We start from the raw sequence: 20,223 nt of genomic DNA on the forward strand, positions 1-20,223 counted from the left end.
AGGTACCTGGTACCTGATGCTATATGAGTGTTTGATTTTTTTTGTTTCTATGGCATTAGAGTAGCTCCATTTAAGTCCAAATGGCAAAACGGATGGGGTCAGAGTTGGGCAGAGGACAAACCTGTTTTTGCTTTTCTATGCCTTGAAGCTGTAATAAAGAATCGGACTCTATTTTGACTGCTGACAGCTCTGGAGCCACACCTCTTCCTCTTCCCCTCTTGCTCCACATCTGAGCAAGCTGAGAAGAAAGCCCATATTCCCCTCACTTGGTGCCCATAGGAAGCTCAATCCACACAGTCCTCTTGTCTTATGCAGGAACCTCTAGCCCAGCCCACTCCCTAACTACAATAAAGGCCAAGGCTGCTCTCCCCTCCTGGCTCTCCCTCAAGATCCATTTTCAGACCTTCTTGGGAGCCTACTGTGCTCTCCCCAGCAAGCCTCATTATGTAAGAAGTAAACCTCCTCATACCCTTTTGCTTCCTGTGTAGTCAGGATATCTGAAAAAACGTTTGGTGTATGTGTGGGGTGTCCCACCTCCGTGTGGCGACCATAGCAGAGAGGCATGGGGCCGGGAGACAGGGAGGGCAGAAAGCTACTCTTTCTCTTTCCTCACCCTTCACCATAGGAAATGAATTCCCAGTCTCCAGAGTAAAGACGTTAGGATCCATAGCATTGAGGGAAGAGAACTGCATTTCATGCTTCCTTTAAGTAAGGCTCTTGCACTGCCCTAATGCAATGTCCATGTGGTTACACAAGAGACTACCCAAGCATTTAAGAGTGTAGCCTTCCTTTTGTTTTTACAGAAGCCATTAGAATTTTATTTCTTCACAGAGCTAAAAAAGAATGGAAAATAGAAAATAAAAGAAATACAGCAGGTCCTCAAATAGCATTCAACATCGTTTCATTATAACATTGATGAGAAAAAAATCAATTCCTGCCAGAACCACTGTCTGTGTGGAGTTTGCACAGACTCTCCCTGTCTGTGTGGGCATTCTCCAGGCATTCAAGTTTCTTCCTACATCTCAAGGATGTGCTAGTTTGGTGAATTGGTGTGTCTAAGTCATTCCAGTCTGAGTGAGTGTGGCTATGAGTGCGCCCTGTGATGGAATGTCATCTTGTCCAGGGTTGATTCCCACCTTGCACCGTGAACTGCAGGGATAGACTCTGGCCACCCTTGGTCCTGAACTGGAATGATTGGGTAAATAATTATCTTACTTGTTTTTATTAATCTTTCTTAAATGTATACATAGCTCTCATTTGTTTCAGTGTTTAATATTAGAAGTGTTTTAGTCTTTATGTAGAAGTTTGGTAGGCCGGGCATGGTGGCTCAGACCTGTAATCCCAGCACTTTGGTAGACCAAGGCGGGTGGATCACTTGAGGTCAGGAGTTCAAGACCAGCCTGGCCAACATGGTGAAACCCCATCCCTACTAAAAAATATAAAAATTAGCCGGGCATTGTGGTGTGCATCTGTAGTCCCAGCTACTTGGGAGGCTGAGGTGGGAGAATCACTTGAACCCAGGAGTCAGAGGCTGCAGTGAGCCTATATGACGCCACTGCACTCCAGTCTGGGTGACAGAGTGAGACCCTGTCTCAAAAAACAAAACAAAAAAAGTTTAGCGATGTTTTTTTGACCAGAAATATGCCATAGGAACTTAACTCTTGTTTATATCAACTAGCCTATGATGAAATTGGTTTTATTATATGTTATTTTGCTTAAAGTCACAGTTTCTAAGAACCCATGGATGCCATACTGTGCTCTATCACACTGTAAGGGAAAGGGAGGGAAGAGAGCGAGACAGAAGACTTAACTCATATGTTGAGGACCTACTCCACACCAGGTCCTGTGTTCTGCCCTCTTGTCATGCACACAACATAGACAACAGTCTATAGGGTAGAGATTACAATTCCCACTTAGCAGAAGGGGAAAAAGAAACTCAAGCAGGCTAAATAAATTACCTGTGGTGGACAGACTCTAAACTCTCCCACATATCCTGCTTTCCAGTGTTCAAACCTTTATGTAAGCCCCTCTCCTTGAGCATGGATGGGATCTGGGACTTGCTCCCAACCAATAGTATATGGCAAAGGTGATAGATGCCACTCCTGGAATTATGTTGCATTATATAAACCTCCATCTTACTAGGAGACTGCTCTAGAGACTCTCCTTGCTGGCTTGATGAATTGCTTATGTTGGGAAAAGACAGGTGGCAAGGAACTGCAGGTGGCCTCTAGGAATGACAGGGGGCTCAGAGGAACTGCAGATAGCCTGGTTGCTGAAGATGTCCTCCAGGCAGCAAAAAGCTAGGGCCCTCAGTCCTACAGCTACAAAGAAATGAATTCTGCCAATAACCTGAGTAAGCTTAGAAGAGGCTGGGTGTGGTGGCTTATGCCTGTAATCCCAGCACTTTGGGAGGCTGAGATGGGTGGATCACCTGAGATCAGAAGTTTGTGACCAGGCTGGCCAACATGGTGAAACCCCGTCTCTACTAAAAATACAAAAATTAGCTGGGTGTGGTGATAGTTGCCTGTAATCCCAGCTACTCAGAGGGCTGAGGCACGAGAATTCCTTGAACACAGGAGCAGAGGTTGCAGTGAGCCAAGATCTCACCATTGCACTCCAGCCTGGGCAACAAGAGCGAAACTCTGTCTCAAAAAAAAAAAAAAAAGAAAAAAAAAAGCTTAGGAGAGCATTCTTCCCCAGTTGAGCCTCCAGATAAGAGCACAGCTTGGCTGGCACCTTGATTACTGACTTGTGAGACCCTAAGCAGAGAACCCAGCTAAGCTATGCCTGAACTCCTCACTCAAAAAAGCAATGAGGTAATAAATTGTTTTGTTTTAGGCCAATAACTCTGTGGCAATATATAGTTCATGCACTACCCAACTCCTGTTTTTAACATCTCCTAATTTTAATTTTTTAGTGAGGTAGAATCCTATATAACAGCCTATAAAGTGTTGATGAAAGGCTATAGAACATCTTTGACAGTGGGCCATTTTGATTTAGCTGCTCTCATAATCTGAGAAGTTGATTGTTGAGGAAAGTGTATAATGATCATAATATGCGTTAGTATGATGACATAGGATCACTGACATATTAGGATTTAATAATATCCTAATTGATAGCTTATTTTCTCTTTATTTATACACTCTGACTCTGTCACATTCTTCCAATTTCTATGGAAAGAGTAAATTTAATTTTATTGCTTTATATTTCTGCATTGCTAAAATTTTTCCAGTTAACATCTTTTATAAGGAATCCTATGAAGTTTCTCAATATCTTCCACAAGACTACTTATTCATGATCTTATAGGATCCTTGTAGTGTATGAAATTATTCTAAAGTGTTACACACCTTTGAATATCAGTAATATATAAAGGAGAGGTAAAAAGTGGTAATATTTGTGCCAATCAACCAACATTCACAAGTTATATACTATATTCTAATTTATTACTCTGCTTCTATCCCAATTAGTTTAAGTTTCCTTAGTAAAAGCACTTACTTATTAATATAAATCCACTTCTGCTTGTAAAACTGGTGAATTTGTAACGGAAGATGTTTGAGAGCATATTTCCCAACTTATCCTTGCAATGACATTACCCCAAATAGAGAGGGCTCCTTTGTGTGAATGCTACCCATTTGCTGCCTTAAGAAAATCTAGTTCTCTCATTTGCCAATTCCAACTGCAAAACCCACTGGGCAAAAATCACTAAGTCAAGAAATAATTCTGTGACCAATTCCCCAAGATCTGTAATTGACCCTGTTTGTACAGTCCCAGAGACATACGACAGGGGATGGCAAATAATAAATGGCACGTTTAATTTTAAATTTGCTGGTAAAGTATCCAGATATGTTCCTGCCATTATTTTCACATGTAAATATCCAGCTTTATCAAGCCTCTGACATTTCAAGAAGTGTATTTCTTATGTGGCTGTTGATTACACCAAGTATACCACTGGCCATATTAATCAGGATGGATGGGGCAACTGCCTTCCTTATCTTTAGAATACACGTGCTGAGCAGTGATGCTCTATGATCCAAGCTGAGCTCAGAATGTCTCCAGTTAAAATACAGTCCTCAGAGATTTTAGAGATGTTAATTAACCCCAATAATTACATGTGGTTCTCCCCAAGATTGAGAATCTTCTTAAAAACAATTATTGTGACATTAATCTTTCAATAAATATGTGTAATATTTCAATTACACGTATTTTCAAATATGTGTAATCCTTGTCTCAGAAGATGGAAGAAACTTCCCCATTCTGAAGATACTGGCCCAGATCAACAGAAGCTGAACTGTGTATCTCATTTATATTATACATTACCACAGCTATAGTTTTAGCAAAAATTGCAGTGTATCCTCACCATATGCTACTTGCCAATGAGGAGAATTTAAAATGGTGTCCATAGGGATTTACCATGGCAACTGTCAGAAGCATCTCACCGGAAAACTAGAAACCCTAGAAAATGATCCAAATGTCAGCATTTGTTTATTCTGAAGTACAATCCCACAATGAGATGGCCACCCATCTTCCTGAAAGAAATCCCAGTCTACTGTGTAATTTTTATGGCAGAGATAAAAGTCATCAGCATCAGCCTAGAGGGCGAGATGAAATACTTCCTAAAACCAGTTTAATTTTGCATTCTGGTTTTGTGTATCTACATGGAGGTATGCATGAATCATCCCCCACTTTGTTCTACCAAATATTTAGAGTTTCTAATTTTCATGCTCTCTAGACTTCTGAGCATTTTCCTGCCCCTTCCTTTCTCTCCACCAAGAATCTCCCTCTTCTCATGCAAGAAAATATAGCATAAGTTTGGGCTGGTTTGTAAGTGTGACTCACTTCACCATGGTATGACTCATCCTGGGTAAGCTGATCATAAAAGAAAAGCACCTTCCTCAGCAACGTCTGGTCTTCCACCCAAACTACTACAGAGCCTCCTACCCCTCAGGAAGAAAGTCCACCTACCTATATTCCCTGTCATGTGTTAACTGCATTCTCTTGAAAATTCCTGTTATATTCTTCTAAGCCTAATGGTTGGAACTTGAGTGTGCACCACAGCTATCTGAAGGGCTTGTTAAAACAGAGGTGACTGGGCTCCACCCCCAGAACTTCTGATTCTGGAGGGCTGTGGGAAGCCTCAGCATTCACATGGGTAACAAATTCCCAGGTGACGCTGAAGCTGGTCTAGGAACCACACTGAGAACTACTGTTTTAGGCAATGGTCCTCAACCTTGACTACACATTAGAACCACGTGAGGAGGTATTAAACAACACGCATGCCCAGGGCCTCCCAAGACCAAGTAAATGAGAATCTCTTGCAGGAGAGTCTCAGGTACTGGTGTTTTTTGTTTCTTAGAAGCTCCTCAGGTGATTTTTATGTGCTGCTAGGATGAGAACCATTACAGTAAGAGAAGCTGATGCCAGAGATGCAAAGGGGGGTGAGATTTAAGGAGAGTGCCTTGACTCAAAATCTCCCCTATACGTTTGGTATTTTATGTGAAGAATGCATGTTTTAATATTTAAGCAGCATTTAAAATATTTCAAAAGCACATTAACATATGTCTCATGTCCCCAGAATCTATTGTTAGTCAAATATTAAAGAATTATTATAGCCATAATAATAGCAAACTTTCATTTCTAGTTGCTACAACTGGGTGGCTAGAAATTTAATTACGCTATTTTTTATGGCAAGATGAATGTGCTATTTTCTATGAGAGAATAAAAATTTGCAGCATTTGAGCACAGCAAAAACATAATAAATGGCATGGAAAACATATTCCTTATCAAGAGAATAATTATCAGGAAACCTCAACTGAGTAAAACTAGAGCTTCTCAGCGAAGCTGAGCTGTAAGTTAGTTTGTGCTTGGAAACAAACTCTTCCGTCCCTGCAAGTAGTCAACTGAATCGTTCATATTTTTTTTGAAGACACCTGATTTTGAGTACAGACCTCATCTGACTTTTTTTTTTTTTTTTTTTACTGTTCAGATTGTAAAAGTTAAAAGTAGTGCACTGGATTGTTATTGCATAAGACCACTCAGTCTCTGTGGGACTCAGGTAATTGCGACCGATTTTCAGACTAGACTTCAGTCTTTTCAGGTTTCTTTTCCTGCTGTCTAGCATAGCACTTGGCACAGAATAGATGCTCCACAAATATTTACCAATTTAAGTGAAAATTATTGCTCTATTTCAGAAGAACTAAATGTGCTTTTTTTCTTTTTCTTTTTCTTTTTTTATTATTATTTTTTTTTTAGTATTTATTATCATCCTTGGGTGTTTCTCGTAGAGGGGGATTTGGCAGGGTCACAGGACAACAGTGGAGGGAAGGTCAGCAGATAAACATGTGAACAAAGGTCTCTGGTTTTCCTAGGCAGAGGGCCCTGCCGCCTTCCGAACTGTTTGTGTCCCTGGGTACCTCAGATTAGAGAGTGGTGATGACTCTTAACAAGCATGCTGCCTTCAAGCATCTGTTTAACAAAGCACATCTTGCACCGCCCTTAATCCATTTAACCCTTAGTGGACACAGCACATGTTTCAGAGAGCACGGGGCTGGGGGCAAGGCCATAGATTAACAGCATCCCAAGGCAGAAGAATTTTTCTTAGTACAGAACAAAATGGAGTCTCCTATGTCTACTTCTTTCCACACAGACACAGTAACAATCCCATCTCTCTTTCTTTTCCCCACACTTCCCCCCTTTCTATTCGACAAAACCGCCATCGTCATCATGGCCCGTTCTCAATGAGCTGTTGGGTACACCTCCCAGACGGGGTGGCGGCCGGGCAGAGGGGCTCCTCACTTCCCAGACGGGGCGGCCGGGCAGAGGCGCCCCCCACCTCCTGGACGGGGTGGCGGCGGGGCAGAGACACTCCTCAGTTCCCAGACGGGGTCGTGGCCAGGCAGAGGCGCTCCCCACATCCCAGACGATGGGCGGCAGGGCAGAGACGCTCCTCACTTCCTAGACAGGATGACGGCCGGGAAGAGGTGCTCCTCACTTCCCAGACTGGGCGGCCAGGCAGAGAGGCTCCTCTCATCCCAGACGATGGGCGGCCGGGCAGAGACGCTCCTCACTTCTTAGACGGGGTGGCGGCCAGGTAGAGGCTACAATCTCGGCACTTTGGGAGGCTAAGGCAGGCGGCTGGGAGGTGGAGGTTGTAGCGGGCAGAGATCACGCCACTGCACTCCAGCCTGGGCAACATTGAGCACTGAGTGAGCGAGACTCCATTTGCAATCCCAGCACCTTGGGAGGCCGAGGCTGGCAGATCACTCGCGGTCAGGAGCTGGAGACCAGCCTGGCCAACACGGCAAAAACCCGTCTCCACCAAAAAATATAAAAACCAGTCAGGCATGGCGGCGCACGCCTGCAATCCCAGGCACTCCGCATGCCGAGGCAGGAGAATCAGGCAGGGAGGTTGCAGTGAGTCCAGATGGCGGCAGTACAGTCCAGCCTCGGCTTGGCATCAGAGGGAGACCGTGCAAAGGGGAGAGGGAGAGGGAGAGGGAGGAGAGGAGGAGAGGAGGGAGAGGAGGGAGAAGAGGGAGAGGGAGAGCTCTTTTTCTTAATTTAATTTTTATTTGTACAAAGTAATAGATGCACATGGTGTTAGAAGTCATGGCTTATGACAACAACAACAACAAAATCGGCCACTTGTTCCATCTTCCTCACCCACCAAATTCTGCTTCCCAGACACAAGCACTATCTGCTCTGTTATTGTTGTTTCTTCTGATATTTCTATCCACATTTGTGTGTCAAAGTCATCACAAAAGGTTGTCTTGATAAAAACAGATACTATGTTTTGATTAAAAACAACAATAAGCTGAGCTTAATGAAAACTTCTCAGACAATGGGCAACTGTCCAAATGAATCAGTCAAATGAATTCCCTGAGTCGCCTGAGTATTTGGGTTTTATAAAGTTTGTTGGAGTGGAGTTAGTCATGGGATGGTTGATGCAGGAGTCAGAGTTAGAATCTGGGCAAGAACTGGTGAAGATTTGTAAGCCCAGGTACCCAGGATAACTTGTTTGGTACATGGGTAAGGCTACTTGTTGGAGCAGTCTGTGGTTTTCTCTTTTCAGAGTCTGTGAGTCCAAAAGAGCTGCTAACTAGTTTATCCTGTTTTTTTTTTTGTTTTGTTTTTTTTTTTTTTTGGAACATGAGGGTTCTATTTCTACTTCTAGTTCTGTTAATTTTGCTTTACATATTTTGAGTCTATCATTAGATACATGCACATTTAGAATAGTTCTATGTTCTTGGTGAACTGAGCTCCTTATTGTTATGAGATGTTCCTTTTTACCTCTAGAAATGCTTATTATTTTAAGAGACAGTTCATTTAGATGTACTTACATATGTCTGTTTTAGCTGAATACACTTTGCCTGAAGGATTCCCTTTAGTATTGCGTTTAGTATATATCTTCTGGTGACAATATTCTTAGTGTTGATTTGTTGACAATGTTACTATTTCTTCTTAATTTTGAAAATATTTTCACTGGATATGTTATCTTCCTCCAAAAAGGATTTACATGTGCTTAAGGTCAAGGACTAGGTTAGGGGCGCTGGTAATACAAGTGAATTTGATTTAAGTGAAGGACTGGGATGACTCAAAGACGACTGGCTTACTTTAATTCACCTCTGTTCCTAGGGTGCATTGCTTGTGGGTTCCAACCTAAAGACAGAGGGATGGCCGGGCGCAGTGGTTCATGCCTGTAATCCCAGCACTTTGGGAGGCCGAAGCGGGCAGATTACCTGAGGTCAGGAATTCAAGACCAGCCTGGCCAAGATGGTGAAACCCTGTCTCTACAAAAATACAAAAAATTAGCGGCGCATGATGGCGGATGCCTGTAATCCCAGCTACTCGGGAGGCTGGGGCAGAAGAATTGCTTGAAACCAGGAGGTGGAGGTTGTAGTGAGCCGAGATCGTGCCATTGCACTCCAGCCTGGGCAACAGAGTGAGACTTTGTTTAAAAAAAAAAAAAAAAGACAGAGGGATTTGCCAGGGCCTCTTTCATTGTTAGACCCTGAACTACAATTGTCTCGCTTACCCCATTAATCTACCAAAAGCTCTGTTCAGCTTCTCTGCCTCCTAACTGCCTTTTTTTTTTTTTTTTTAAATTGGCAGATGCTTCCAAGAGCAAAGCAGCCAAAAATGCTGGGCTCATCTCTCTAGGTTTCCTCCTTCTTTTGGATTTTGGCCCTATAATCTTTCACTGATTTGAATGCAAACAGATTTTTAAAAAAATTGTATTCAGCTTTACTAGCTGCTCTCACTAGGATGGATGGTTGGAATTATCTAGATCACCATGATTGAGGGCAAAACCACTGGTACCCTGCCCATATTCTCTTGGCAATACCTTTTCTGTGTACGCTGATTTTATGGTTTATTCCATCTCATTGTAGACTGTAGTGAGACGAAAAGTGTGTCCCCCCAAAATATCAGTTCCTAATTCCTGGAAACTTTAAATGTTACCTTATAAGGAAAAAAAATATTTTTGCATGTGTGATTAAATCAAGGAGCCTGAGATGGGGAAGACTGTGCCAGATTACTTGGGTGTGACCTGAATGCCATCCCAAGCATCCTTATGAGAGAGAAACAGAGGGAGATTTTGCACACACATGCAGAGGAGAAGGCAATATGAAGACAGAGGCGAAGGTGAGAGTGCTGCAGCCACAAGGCAAGGGAAGCCGGCAACCACTGGGAGTTGAGTTGAAAGAGTCAAGCAACAGATTCTCCTCTAAATCCTTTGAAGGAGTACAATACAGTCGACACCTTGATTTCAGCCCAGTGATACTGATTTTGGACCTCTGGCCCCCAGGACTGTGAGATAATATATTTTTGTGGTTTTAAGCCACCGAGTTTCTAGTAATTTGTTACTGCAGCCACAGAAAACATACCTAGATTGTTTCCATCAAAGCCATTTTTATATCATTTTCCTATCTTATTTAATTAAATACCATAAGACACCTGACAGGTTCAAAGCCTTGAGTCCCTGTCCTTCAGAGACTCACAATCTGCTATCATAAGTAATTCTGACCCAACCCGACAATAATAAGCAGGTGCTAAAATTAAAATAAAAAATCAAAGAAAATATGGGAGAGGGAGAAATTAATTTTAGCCGAGGGAAGCCAGGAAGTCATCTTAGATAGGATGGTATTTAAAGATCTTTTACTGACTTCTAACTCCTCACACTTTGTGTTTTTATGTAAGTTTTCATCACTCTTTCTTTTTCCTTTTTTTCTTTTTCTTTCTTTCTTTCTTTTTTTTTTTTTTTTTTTTTTGATAGAGTCTCGCTCTATCGCCCAGCCAGGCTGGCATGCAGTTGTGCGATCTCAGCTCACCGCAACCTCTGCCTCCCAAGTTCAAGTGATTCTCCTGCCTCATCCTCCTGAGTACCTGGGATTACAGGCACGTGCCACCACACCTGGCTAATTTTTTGTATTTTTAGTAGAGACAGGGTTTCACCATGTTAGCTAGGCTGGTCTCGAACTCCTGACCTCAAGTGATCCACCCGCCTCAGCCTCCCAAAGTGCTGGGATTACACGTGTGAGCCACCGTGCCCGGCCTACTTTTTCTCTTGTAATTGCTTTCATTTCATTTAACAAAGGAATACTGTAAAATAGGGTTTAAGAGCATGTTCTCACGGTTCCACTTCCCCTCTATTTATTCTTACTGTGCTTGACATGGCTTTAGAGAAGGGGACACTCCAACGGCTCCTGGCACGACAGCGATGGTGAGACTTCCCACAGCGAAGTGGTGTCTCCTTCCCACAGGGCTCCCAGGGACTCTGTCTTCTAGTGAAAGAAGGGCAGCTGACAGTATGAAAAGGGGCTGTTTTCAGTCGGGGTTTTGTGACAGTTGGGGTCCATGTGTCAGAATGACTGAGTTGGGGTGAAAGGGATTACTTTCTCATTTCTTCTCAGAATACAGGGCAGCTTAAGGGGTACATTGAGAATCACAGGGAATGCCAAGGTTTACAATCTCTGTAAAGGGAAGTAGTATTTTCAGGAGAGCCCACAAGAGGGCAGTATTAAGGAAGGATCAATTTCGACAGGTTCTACAGAGTGTGAGAGCCAGGGTATACTCTTGAGCCCACATCCAAAGCACCACAGTCTTTAAAAATGCCATGCTCAGCATCACAAAAACCCAGATGCTTATGTGCTTTATTTTAGCACGTACCCACCTGATAAGGTATGGGGAAACAACCAAAAGCCATATATGTGTATAAAATTACAACCCTGTGTAGACAGACGCTCTCCCTCATCTGTCTCCCACTTTGGGAGGCTAAGTGAAGAAATGGTCACATAGAACTGTAGCCAGGATTGAACAAGGAAGTTCTAGAAACTTTTCCCCGTACTCTTGAGGTAAAAAGTTATGGAGTCCCAATATCAACCGAATACAAAGAATTGGAAATCACATCAGTTCTACAAGCTCAAAGAAGAACACAAATGCCAGGATCTGCTTCTAACAAACAGAGAAAACAAAGGCCAGCAAAAAAGGTGGAAAACTTTATAGGACTCAGTAATCAGAAAAGAAAGATTAAAATGTGAATATTTAAATAGGCAGTGAGGAAACTGACCATCTCATATACTGTTGTGAGTTAATGGTTGATACACTTTGAGCGGGCAGATTTATCCATATCTATTAAATTTTGTATAAAATGTACAAAAAAATGTACAAAATTTAATGCAAGTCTAACTGTAGGGATGTATCCTTCAAAAATACCCACAAAAGTATCCAAAGTCCAAGGATTTGCCTTGAAAATTTTGCTAAAACATTTAAGGTCCAACAGTCCCTTTCTTCCTATAGATTGATCTTCTTACAGAATGATTCCTATAGGAATTTCTGAGTGTCCAGCCTTTTGCATCATTAATTCTTGACATTTTAAGTCTACGCAAATCTCTGGTGTTTGCCCAACCCTGGGAATCTTTGAGTGAAACTCTCTCTATTCTGCCCTATCTTATTACTGTCACCTAAGTACAGGTCCTGCCACTGTATGTTTCGCTTTACCATAATCCAGGCTTTCTGAAAGATCTATTACTCAGTTTGACTCAGGCTTGTACTCAGTTGTGATGTGGAGTAAAATTGTCATAAGCCTCTAATACTTAGAGTTAATCTTCACTCAATTTAAATGATGGTTGTATCAGACTGTCAGTTTTAATCATGCTTAATAAGAAATATTGAATGAAAAAACTATTTATACAAGTAACTTTGCAAATGTTAAGGATGGGATTAACCATTACCCTCTGTTTGAAAAGGAAGAATAAAGAATATTTACAAAACAGTTGCTCTATAGTTTAAGTTAAATATACTTATTCTGTATTTTGCCTTTGTAAACTTGAGTTTCTAAATCTGTTTACAGAAAAGGGCACAGAACTTACTTGTAGTATTGAGAATTGTGAGGTTTTCAAATAAATGTTTTACTTTGAGAGGAAGAAGGCTGTAGATTCTCATGCAGTTGTAAGAAATAATACAGAGAGACCCCACTCACCCTTTACCCAGTTTCCCCCAGTGGTAAGATCTATAGTATGTCAGTTATCACAATCAGGATATTAAGGTTGACACAGTCAAGATAAAGAACATTTCTGTCATCACAAAGATCTCTCATGTGGCTTGGTAATATCCACACCCTTGTCCCTCCTTACTACTTAACCTTTTGCAACTGTGAATCTGTCCTCCATTTCTACAATTTTGTTATTTCAAGATGTCCTTTCAATGGAATTGATACAAGGCTACAGTGTAAAACCTTTTAGGATTGCCTTTTTTTTTTTCAGTCAGAGGAATTATTGGTGATTCGTTTCTAGTGTGTTTGTAATTGCTTATTGTAACATTTTTATGATGATTACTTTAAAATCTTTGTCAGACAATTCCAACATCTCTGTCATCCTGATCTTGGTGTTGGTGTCTGTCAATTGTCTTTTTTTTTTTTTTCTTTGAGACAGGGTCTAGCTCTGTTGCCCAGGCCGGAGTGCAGTGGCACAATCTCGGCTCACTGCAGCCTTGACCTTGTCAGGCTCAGGTGATCCTCCCACTTCAGTATGCAGAGTAGCTGGGACCATGGGCATGTGCCACCATGCCTGGCTAATTGGTGTTTGTGTTTTTATAGGAACAGGGTCTCACTATGTTGCCCAGGCTGGTCTCAAACTTCTGGGCTCAAGTGATCTGCCCGCCTCAGCCTCCCAAAGTGCTGGGATTACAGATGTGAGCACCCACGCTGGGCTTCAATTGTCTTTTCTCATCCTTTTGGGGTATTCTGTTTGTGCCTCTGGCACTTATTTGAGCTTTCTGTCTTAGCAGTCTTTTGGTACCTCTTTGACAGGGCAGGTGGGGAGGAAAGCCACTCCATTACTGGCCAGTGAGGGTAACATTCCAGGCTTCCCTCTCAGCTTTCATCCACATCATCCAGGGGGAGGGTCTCCTTGTTCCTGCTGGGTGAGGTGGGAGTTCCAGCTCCCCACTCCGCCTCCACTGACACCACCAGCTAGGAGGGAGTTACTGCTTCCTTTGTGGCCTCCATTGACACCATGGGGGTGGGAGGTGGCGTTGTTTCCACTGGGCACGGGCAGAAGTTCTGACTCTCTGGTAGGCCTCCTCTGATACCCCACCAGCAGGGAAGGGTAGGGAGGCTTTGTTTTTCTGGATGTGAGTCCAAGTCTGGGTTCCCTATGTGGTCTCCACTGCTACCACAGGGTGTGGGGACTTCCTTATCACCTGTCAGGGATGAAAGTCCTGATCTGTACTTGGTCTCCTCAGATTCCACCCTGGGAGCGGGAGGAAGGTTGGGGCACTTTGTCATTACAGCCTGGTGTGGTTGGAAGTCTAGGCTCCCCAGCAGACTTGGGCTGGCATGGGCGGGAGTGGGACCACAGTTTGTCTAGGATGTTTGACTAGGCTAGAGTGGAAATCGTCTGAAAGTTTTCTGATTTGCCAGGGTACCCCTTTCCTAGTCCTCTGGCTAGAGAGCAGAGGTTTGTTGGGCATTTATTGTCTGCACGGGACTCCTTGGTGCTTCCAGGCTGCCAGCTTCGACAGCTCCAGGTCTGGGATATACAAGACTAAAGCAAAACCCGGGAACTCACAGCTGTGTCATTCCCTGGGTCCTGAGGTCCCTGACCAGTCTGTCTTCTTCACTCCACCTTTCAGAATCTTATGTTCGTTTTATATATAATGTTCAAGGTTTTGGGTTATACATAGAGGGAGGAATAGGGAAAAGTATGTCTACTCCATCTTCCCAGAAACAAAAGTCTTGAGAATTGTGTGTTAATAGTTATTTTCTGAAAACCATTGACTTATAACTAGGGACCACACATTTGTTGTAGGGATCTTCATTTGTTAGAAAATAGAAATGTTTGCTTAAAGTTCTAAAGTTTCCACAGAAAAATGGAATTTACAAATCCACATTATACTAACTATGACAATTCTCCAACCAGTATATAAGAACTGTGGAGGAGGGAAGCAGAGTGCTTAGGGAGTGGGGAATACATGGAGGATAAAACCATTTAGAAAAATGACCAGCCAGGCGTGGTGGCTCACACCTGTATCTCAGCAGTTTTAGAGGTCGAGGTGAGTAGATTGCTTGAGTCCAGGAGTTCAAGACCAGCCTGGGAAACATGGTGAAACCCTGTCTCTACAAAAAATTAGCTGGGCATAGTGCACCTGTAGTCCCAGCTATTCGGGAGGATGAGGTGGGAGGATCACCTGAGCCTGGGTGGTAGAGGCTGCAATGAGCAATAATTGTGCCACTGCAGTCCAGCCTGGGCGACAGAGTGAAAAAAAAAAAAGAAAAATTGCCAACAGGATTTAGTGATAGATAATTAAATTAAAACTATGGTTGCTAGTAACTCTAAGGAAAACAAAAACTTGGTTTTTGTTGATATTTAAATTGTCATAATACTATAATTGCTTTAACTGTAGGGGGAGGATAGTAGCAAGAGGAGTGTGCAAGCACATGTGTGGCTTGGTTTAAGAGAGTTAAATCATCAACTATTTTAATAGTTTCTCACGAAATAATGACAAAAAAGATAAATTAAGAAATAGCAGTATACATATATCATTGGGAAATATGGAAATAAATCCTGGGAAAAACAGCCAAAATAATTGATACAGGTTGAGTATTCCTTATCTGAAAGGCTTGGGATCAGAAGTGTTTTGGACTTCAGATTTTTTTGATTTCGAAGTATTTGTACATATATATAATATGAAAAACCCTAGGGATGGGACCCAAGTCTAAACACAAAATTTATTTATGTTTCATATTCACCTTATACATATAGGCTGAAGGTAATTTCATTTTTCCCTTGGGAATGCTGAATAAACTAGTGTTGTCCACCTGTGTTTTGACTGGGACCCATCGCATGAGGTCAGGTATGGAACTTTCCGTCTGTGGCATCATGTTGGTGTTCAGCAAGTTTCAGATTTTGGAACATTTTGCACTTTGGATTTTCAGATTAGGTATGCTCAACCTGTAATTGATAGCTGCAGTCAGAGATGGGACAAAAAGACAGCTGATAAAGAGATTTGTTGTTTCTCTCTCTCTCTCTTTTTTTTGTAGCCATTTAGCACTATGTTTTTAAACCTTTGCAGGTATAATGATGTCATAAAATAAAAATTAATTGGAAAATAGTTAAGGGTATTTAAAAAACAGTAGATGGATAAAACAATACATCTACTACCACCACCACCCTAAGCCATCTTTTCTCCTGGAGTCCTAGCCTCTCGTCTTGTGGGACCATCTCTCCTCACAACTTGCTTTCAGCTATTTCAGCTCCTCTCAGTTCCTCAGCCCCTCACTATTTCAAAAACTCAAACATCTTATTTTTCTTATTCAGAGAAATATATATTCTTGTATTTCATCAAAGTCATCCCTGAGTGCTAAGTGAGTCCACCTACCAAATGACCCATCAATATGTTTTGTTGAAAAAAGAAATGAAGTTAGTTCTGTTAGGGAAAAGGAAAGGCAACGCTCATCCCAAATAAGTTTGCTGTCAGTCTTGAAGCTAATTCTTGCTTAATTTCAGCAAACTTTTCATACATTCTTTGTGAGGGTGGATGTGGAAAATACAGGTAGTCCTTGCTCGAATGGTTACATTGTGTATCAATTTCAGTTACCACCATTCAGTTAAATAACAGCAGTCACCCAACGGCACAATTCAAATTTCAGTTACCATGGCATACTAACTGTGAGAAATTGCATAAAGTGCCAACTTTGCTGCTAGCTCTTAGTTCACAAGTCACTATGTAAATAACGGATATGCATCAATGATCAGCAACTGATCACATCACTTCTTCCAGTCTGTTCCTGATGGGTCACGGTGCATCTGTTATTCAATTCAGTGATGGACAGCAATGGTAGTATGGTCTTCTTATCGCTCAGTGATAAACCCACATGACATTTTACAAAAATGAATAACTGAAAAAGACAGTTTGCCAACAAAGACGAAATTGCAGTAAAGAAAAAAAAAGTGATAATACTGCAAATGAAATTTGAAGTGAACATAATGAAGTTATAGAGGAAATCGCTGACCCTGGGAATGTTGACCCTGCTACCACTGGAGAGATTCTGGGTATGCAGCCAGGGGAACTTAGTGCAGGTGAACTCATGACGTAAGTGACGAAAGTGGCTGTGAGGAAATGGATGAAGGTGTGCCAGAGGAAGCGATGCTGGAAAAAACTTTCACGGTAAAGGCACTCTTAGAGATACTTCACCACATCCAAAATGCAAAGGGTAACATGTTGGAAGCTGATCCAAATTCACAAAGGAGTATGACAATCAGCTGAGACATGTGAAAGATGCTTGTTTCCTACCATGAGTTCTGCAACAAGAAGACTGAAAGCATAATTCAAAGTACTCTTAATATATTTTTCACAAAGAAATAAAACACTTTCATTCCAATGTTTCTTATATTTTAAATTACAATGTGCTAAATAACATGCTAGTTTTAGTATTTTTTCATTTCCTTATACATGTATAAGTTTTAATGTTTTGACATTTCCTTATACATATACAAAGTTTTAATGTTTTGACAACAATTATTAAAGGTCAGGAAAGTTATGAAGATTGCTTTGCATGGTTTAGGCATGCACAGTCCTTTTTATGGTCCTGCACTACTGGGCAAAGCAAGGACTGGCTGTAAAGGAAATTAAGAAATTCATGTTTTCCTTCTTTTCTCTATACCAGCCTGCCCTCTGCTGGAGGTGCCAGAGATCAGTGAAATTGTCAGACTGTCAAGCTACAGACAGGTAGTTCTCAACCTTTTATTCTTTTCAGCTCTACCCCTTTGCTGCCACCCTAGAGGAAGCAAAACATTCCCATGCAAAAGCAAGGATGCTCTAATTCTCAGTCGAGTGAGTCATTATATCCACATTGTGGAGAAGGCTCTCATGCCACTAAACAATTACATCACGTAACTAAATTCTCTCAATGTGATTCTGTGCTCTGAGTGTAACCTGATACAAGCCTATTATTGGAAAGCACATTGGAAGTTATTTAGTCCAACTGGTGGCTATGCCAACTTTCACTGCAAAACTAAAATTTTTCCTAGGTTGTAAATGAGAGCTTAGAGAGCATCCTCTTTAAGCCTAGATTGGAATTTTGACTATGCCAAATTTCCCCTGACATTTTCTTCTCTTATTCCATTCCAGCAATTGTCCTCACTGGCTGGACAATTTACTTCTAGAAATGTTTAGCATTAATAGTGACATAAAGATGTCTCTTGTGACCAACAGAAAGAGCCATAGTGTGTCAGTGTGTTTCCAGAACTTTCAGATCTGCTTCCAAACTATTTTAGTTCAGAGATAGTGCATTAATCTCCTCTTCCACTCTGTCCCTACCTTCCACCCTCACAGTTTACATTTCCAAATAAAGTAACAATTCTTTGCCCAGCAGTTTAGTACAAGCAGTTTAGGTCCGCAGGAAATGCTTAATAAATAATGGTTAAATGTGTGAATAAACTAATATATTTCCATTCCTTAATGGAAGCAACCAAAGTTATCACATGGTAATGAGAATAGGAATTTGGATGCAGGCAAATTGTGCATCTATAAATTTATAGAAGGCTGTCAAGACAGCTCTCTATGGCTGGGTACAGTGGCTTACACCTGTAATCCCAGAACTTTGGGAGGCAGAGGCTGGTGAATCCCTTGAGTCCAGGAACTCGAGACCAGTCTGGGCAACATAGTGAAATGCTGTCTCTACATAAAAATTAAAAAATTAGCCAGGCATGGTGGTGCAGGCCTTTCGTCCCAGCTACTCGGGAGGATAAGGTGAGAGGATCACTTGAGCCCGAAAGGTTGAGGCTGCAGTGAGCTGTAATTGTACCATTGCACTCCAGCCAGGGCAACAGAGTGAGAACCTAGCTCAAAAAAAAAAAAAAAAAAAAAAAAAAAAGAGTTCCCTTTGCTCAAAAGGAGAGGAAGAGATTATAGAACATTTAGGAATATGTTCTTATCTGTCTTATATTTTTGTTGTTGTTAAAAGATGTTACATATATATTAGTTACATATATTTACATATATAATGTACATATATTTACGTTTATTTGCATATAGAGTCATATTAAGACTGTTAAGGTTATAGGTTTAAAAGACTAGGTTAGAAACTATTGTCTTAAACCTCTAAGATTCTGAATTGTCTGTTTTGTTAGAACCCATGGGTTTTCAGTTTCCCCTGTAATAAATTGTAACAAATATAAAAAGAACAAGATAAGTGAGTACTTTTATTTCTAACCTGCAATAGTTCACAAGTAATTTAACATATAATGTGGCTTTTACTATTATTGTTGTCATGGGATCCTTAGGTTGTCACTTCACCAGCCAGGAACCTCTGTGGCTGTCGGCACCTTTGCCCGAGTTTTGCTTGGGCCGCTGGGCTCTTTCTGCTCTCTTGGCCTCGCAGGCTTCACTTGGCTTTCGCTACTGGCTCCGATCCCATGGCTGCCAAGGGCAAGCTAGGCACAGGGCGGTGAGGGGTGTGTGAGCGAGCACGGGGTCCAGCCACTGCACACAGCCAGGCATGCTAGCTGCGGTGGGGTGGGCAGTTCCAGGTGCCGGCATGAGTGCTGGCTTCCTGCTAGGCTGTGGTTGGACCAGGTGTACTGCAAGCGGCTTCCACTGTGGACACCCGGGAATGCAGTGGCACCTGAAGCTTGGAGATACCAGGAACCACAGAGCCCCAAAGAGGGTGTCACAGCCGTGGCTTGGGGAACTCCTAGATCTGGGCTTCCCAAAGAGCTGCAGCTCTTCTCTCCTTGTTGCCCACAATGTGGCAAGCAGGGGTGGAGGGTGTGTTTTGGGCCTGTTTGTGTTACAGCTCTTTCAGTCCCAGCATTCAGCAGGTCCCAAGTTCTTGTCCCACATCCAGGAAGAATGAGGTATGCAGATAACTGCAGGGTGAGCAAGGTGAAGAGGTGCTTTATTGAGCAGCAGTTCAGCTCTCAGGAGACCCAAAGTGAGTAGCTCCTTTCTGCAGGCAGGCTGTCCGAATGTCTCTGTAGCCATCAGCAGAGAGGAGACCTGGTGTGGGTAGCTCCTATCTGCAGGCAGGTCTTTCTGATGTCTCTGCAGTCCTCAGTGGAGAGGAGACCTGGAGTACCTGGAGTGGGTAGCTCCTATCCACAGGCAGGTTGTACAGAGTGTACAGCTCTCACTGGAGAGGAGACTCATGGTGGGTAGCTCCGCTCTGCAGGGAGGTCGTCCTGCCATCTGTCCAAGTCCGGGATTTTATGGGCTTCAGAGAGGAGGACCTATGTGCTGATTGGTCCATGAGCAGCCATGTGTGGGCTTGGAAAAAGTACTGTAAGTTTTCACTCCAGTCCGTGGAACTGGCAGCCTGGTCCCCAGGCTTCAGGTGGGGTTTTATGGGGGACTAGCTCCTTTCTGCCCAGGAGCCTGTCTGCCCCCTGCCACTGTTCATGGTGCCCAGGCTGTTCGAGCTGAGGGATGCCTCCAGGCCCGTGCCGAGCTGCCCACAGTGCCCCCTTGGCCACTCTCTCATGCTTGTTGGTGCCCAAAGTCTGGAGGGGGCCGAGGAGGCAGGGGGCTGGCGTGTCAGCACTGTCCTGAGCATGTGCACACCCAGCCCGGTTGTGACAGCACCTGGGCTTGGTCACAACTTTGCTTTGAAATTGGAGCGGGTGCTGGGAGCAGGGAGAGGCCAGGCAACGCGGGCAGGCACTTCTGTGCCTGTGCGGACAGGGGGACTTCCTGGGCCTCCAGAAGCACAGGGATGCCCAGGTCCTGCAG

General features: G+C 42.7%; 1 protein-coding gene across 3 annotated transcripts in view, besides 3 other annotated features; it reads left to right on the forward strand.

Moving 5' to 3' along the window:
- PDK1 (pyruvate dehydrogenase kinase 1) overlaps positions 1-20,223 on the forward strand; it is a 168,940-nt gene that overhangs the window by 138,151 nt on the left and 10,566 nt on the right. The window lies entirely within an intron of this gene.
- Positions 6,302-6,471: an enhancer, noted in NCBI's record as "experimental_56279 CRE fragment used in MPRA reporter constructs". NCBI's record gives its function as "activates a minimal promoter by MPRAs in K562 erythroleukemia cells, with activity observed for both the introgressed and non-introgressed 2:173564638 variant alleles {active_cell/tissue: K562}" and the evidence as "EXISTENCE:reporter gene assay evidence [ECO:0000049][PMID:34662402]".
- Positions 11,327-11,496: an enhancer, noted in NCBI's record as "experimental_56293 CRE fragment used in MPRA reporter constructs". NCBI's record gives its function as "activates a minimal promoter by MPRAs in K562 erythroleukemia cells, with activity observed for the introgressed 2:173569663 variant allele {active_cell/tissue: K562}" and the evidence as "EXISTENCE:reporter gene assay evidence [ECO:0000049][PMID:34662402]".
- Positions 19,556-20,113: an enhancer, noted in NCBI's record as "H3K4me1 hESC enhancer chr2:173577807-173578364 (GRCh37/hg19 assembly coordinates)". NCBI's record gives its function as "activates a minimal SCP1, AML or CMV promoter by ChIP-STARR-seq in naive H9 embryonic stem cells {active_cell/tissue: H9 hESC(naive)}" and the evidence as "EXISTENCE:reporter gene assay evidence [ECO:0000049][PMID:30033119]".

This window comes from Homo sapiens, chromosome 2 (genome assembly GCF_000001405.40).
Source record: "Homo sapiens chromosome 2, GRCh38.p14 Primary Assembly".
Taxonomy (NCBI): domain Eukaryota; kingdom Metazoa; phylum Chordata; class Mammalia; order Primates; family Hominidae; genus Homo; species Homo sapiens.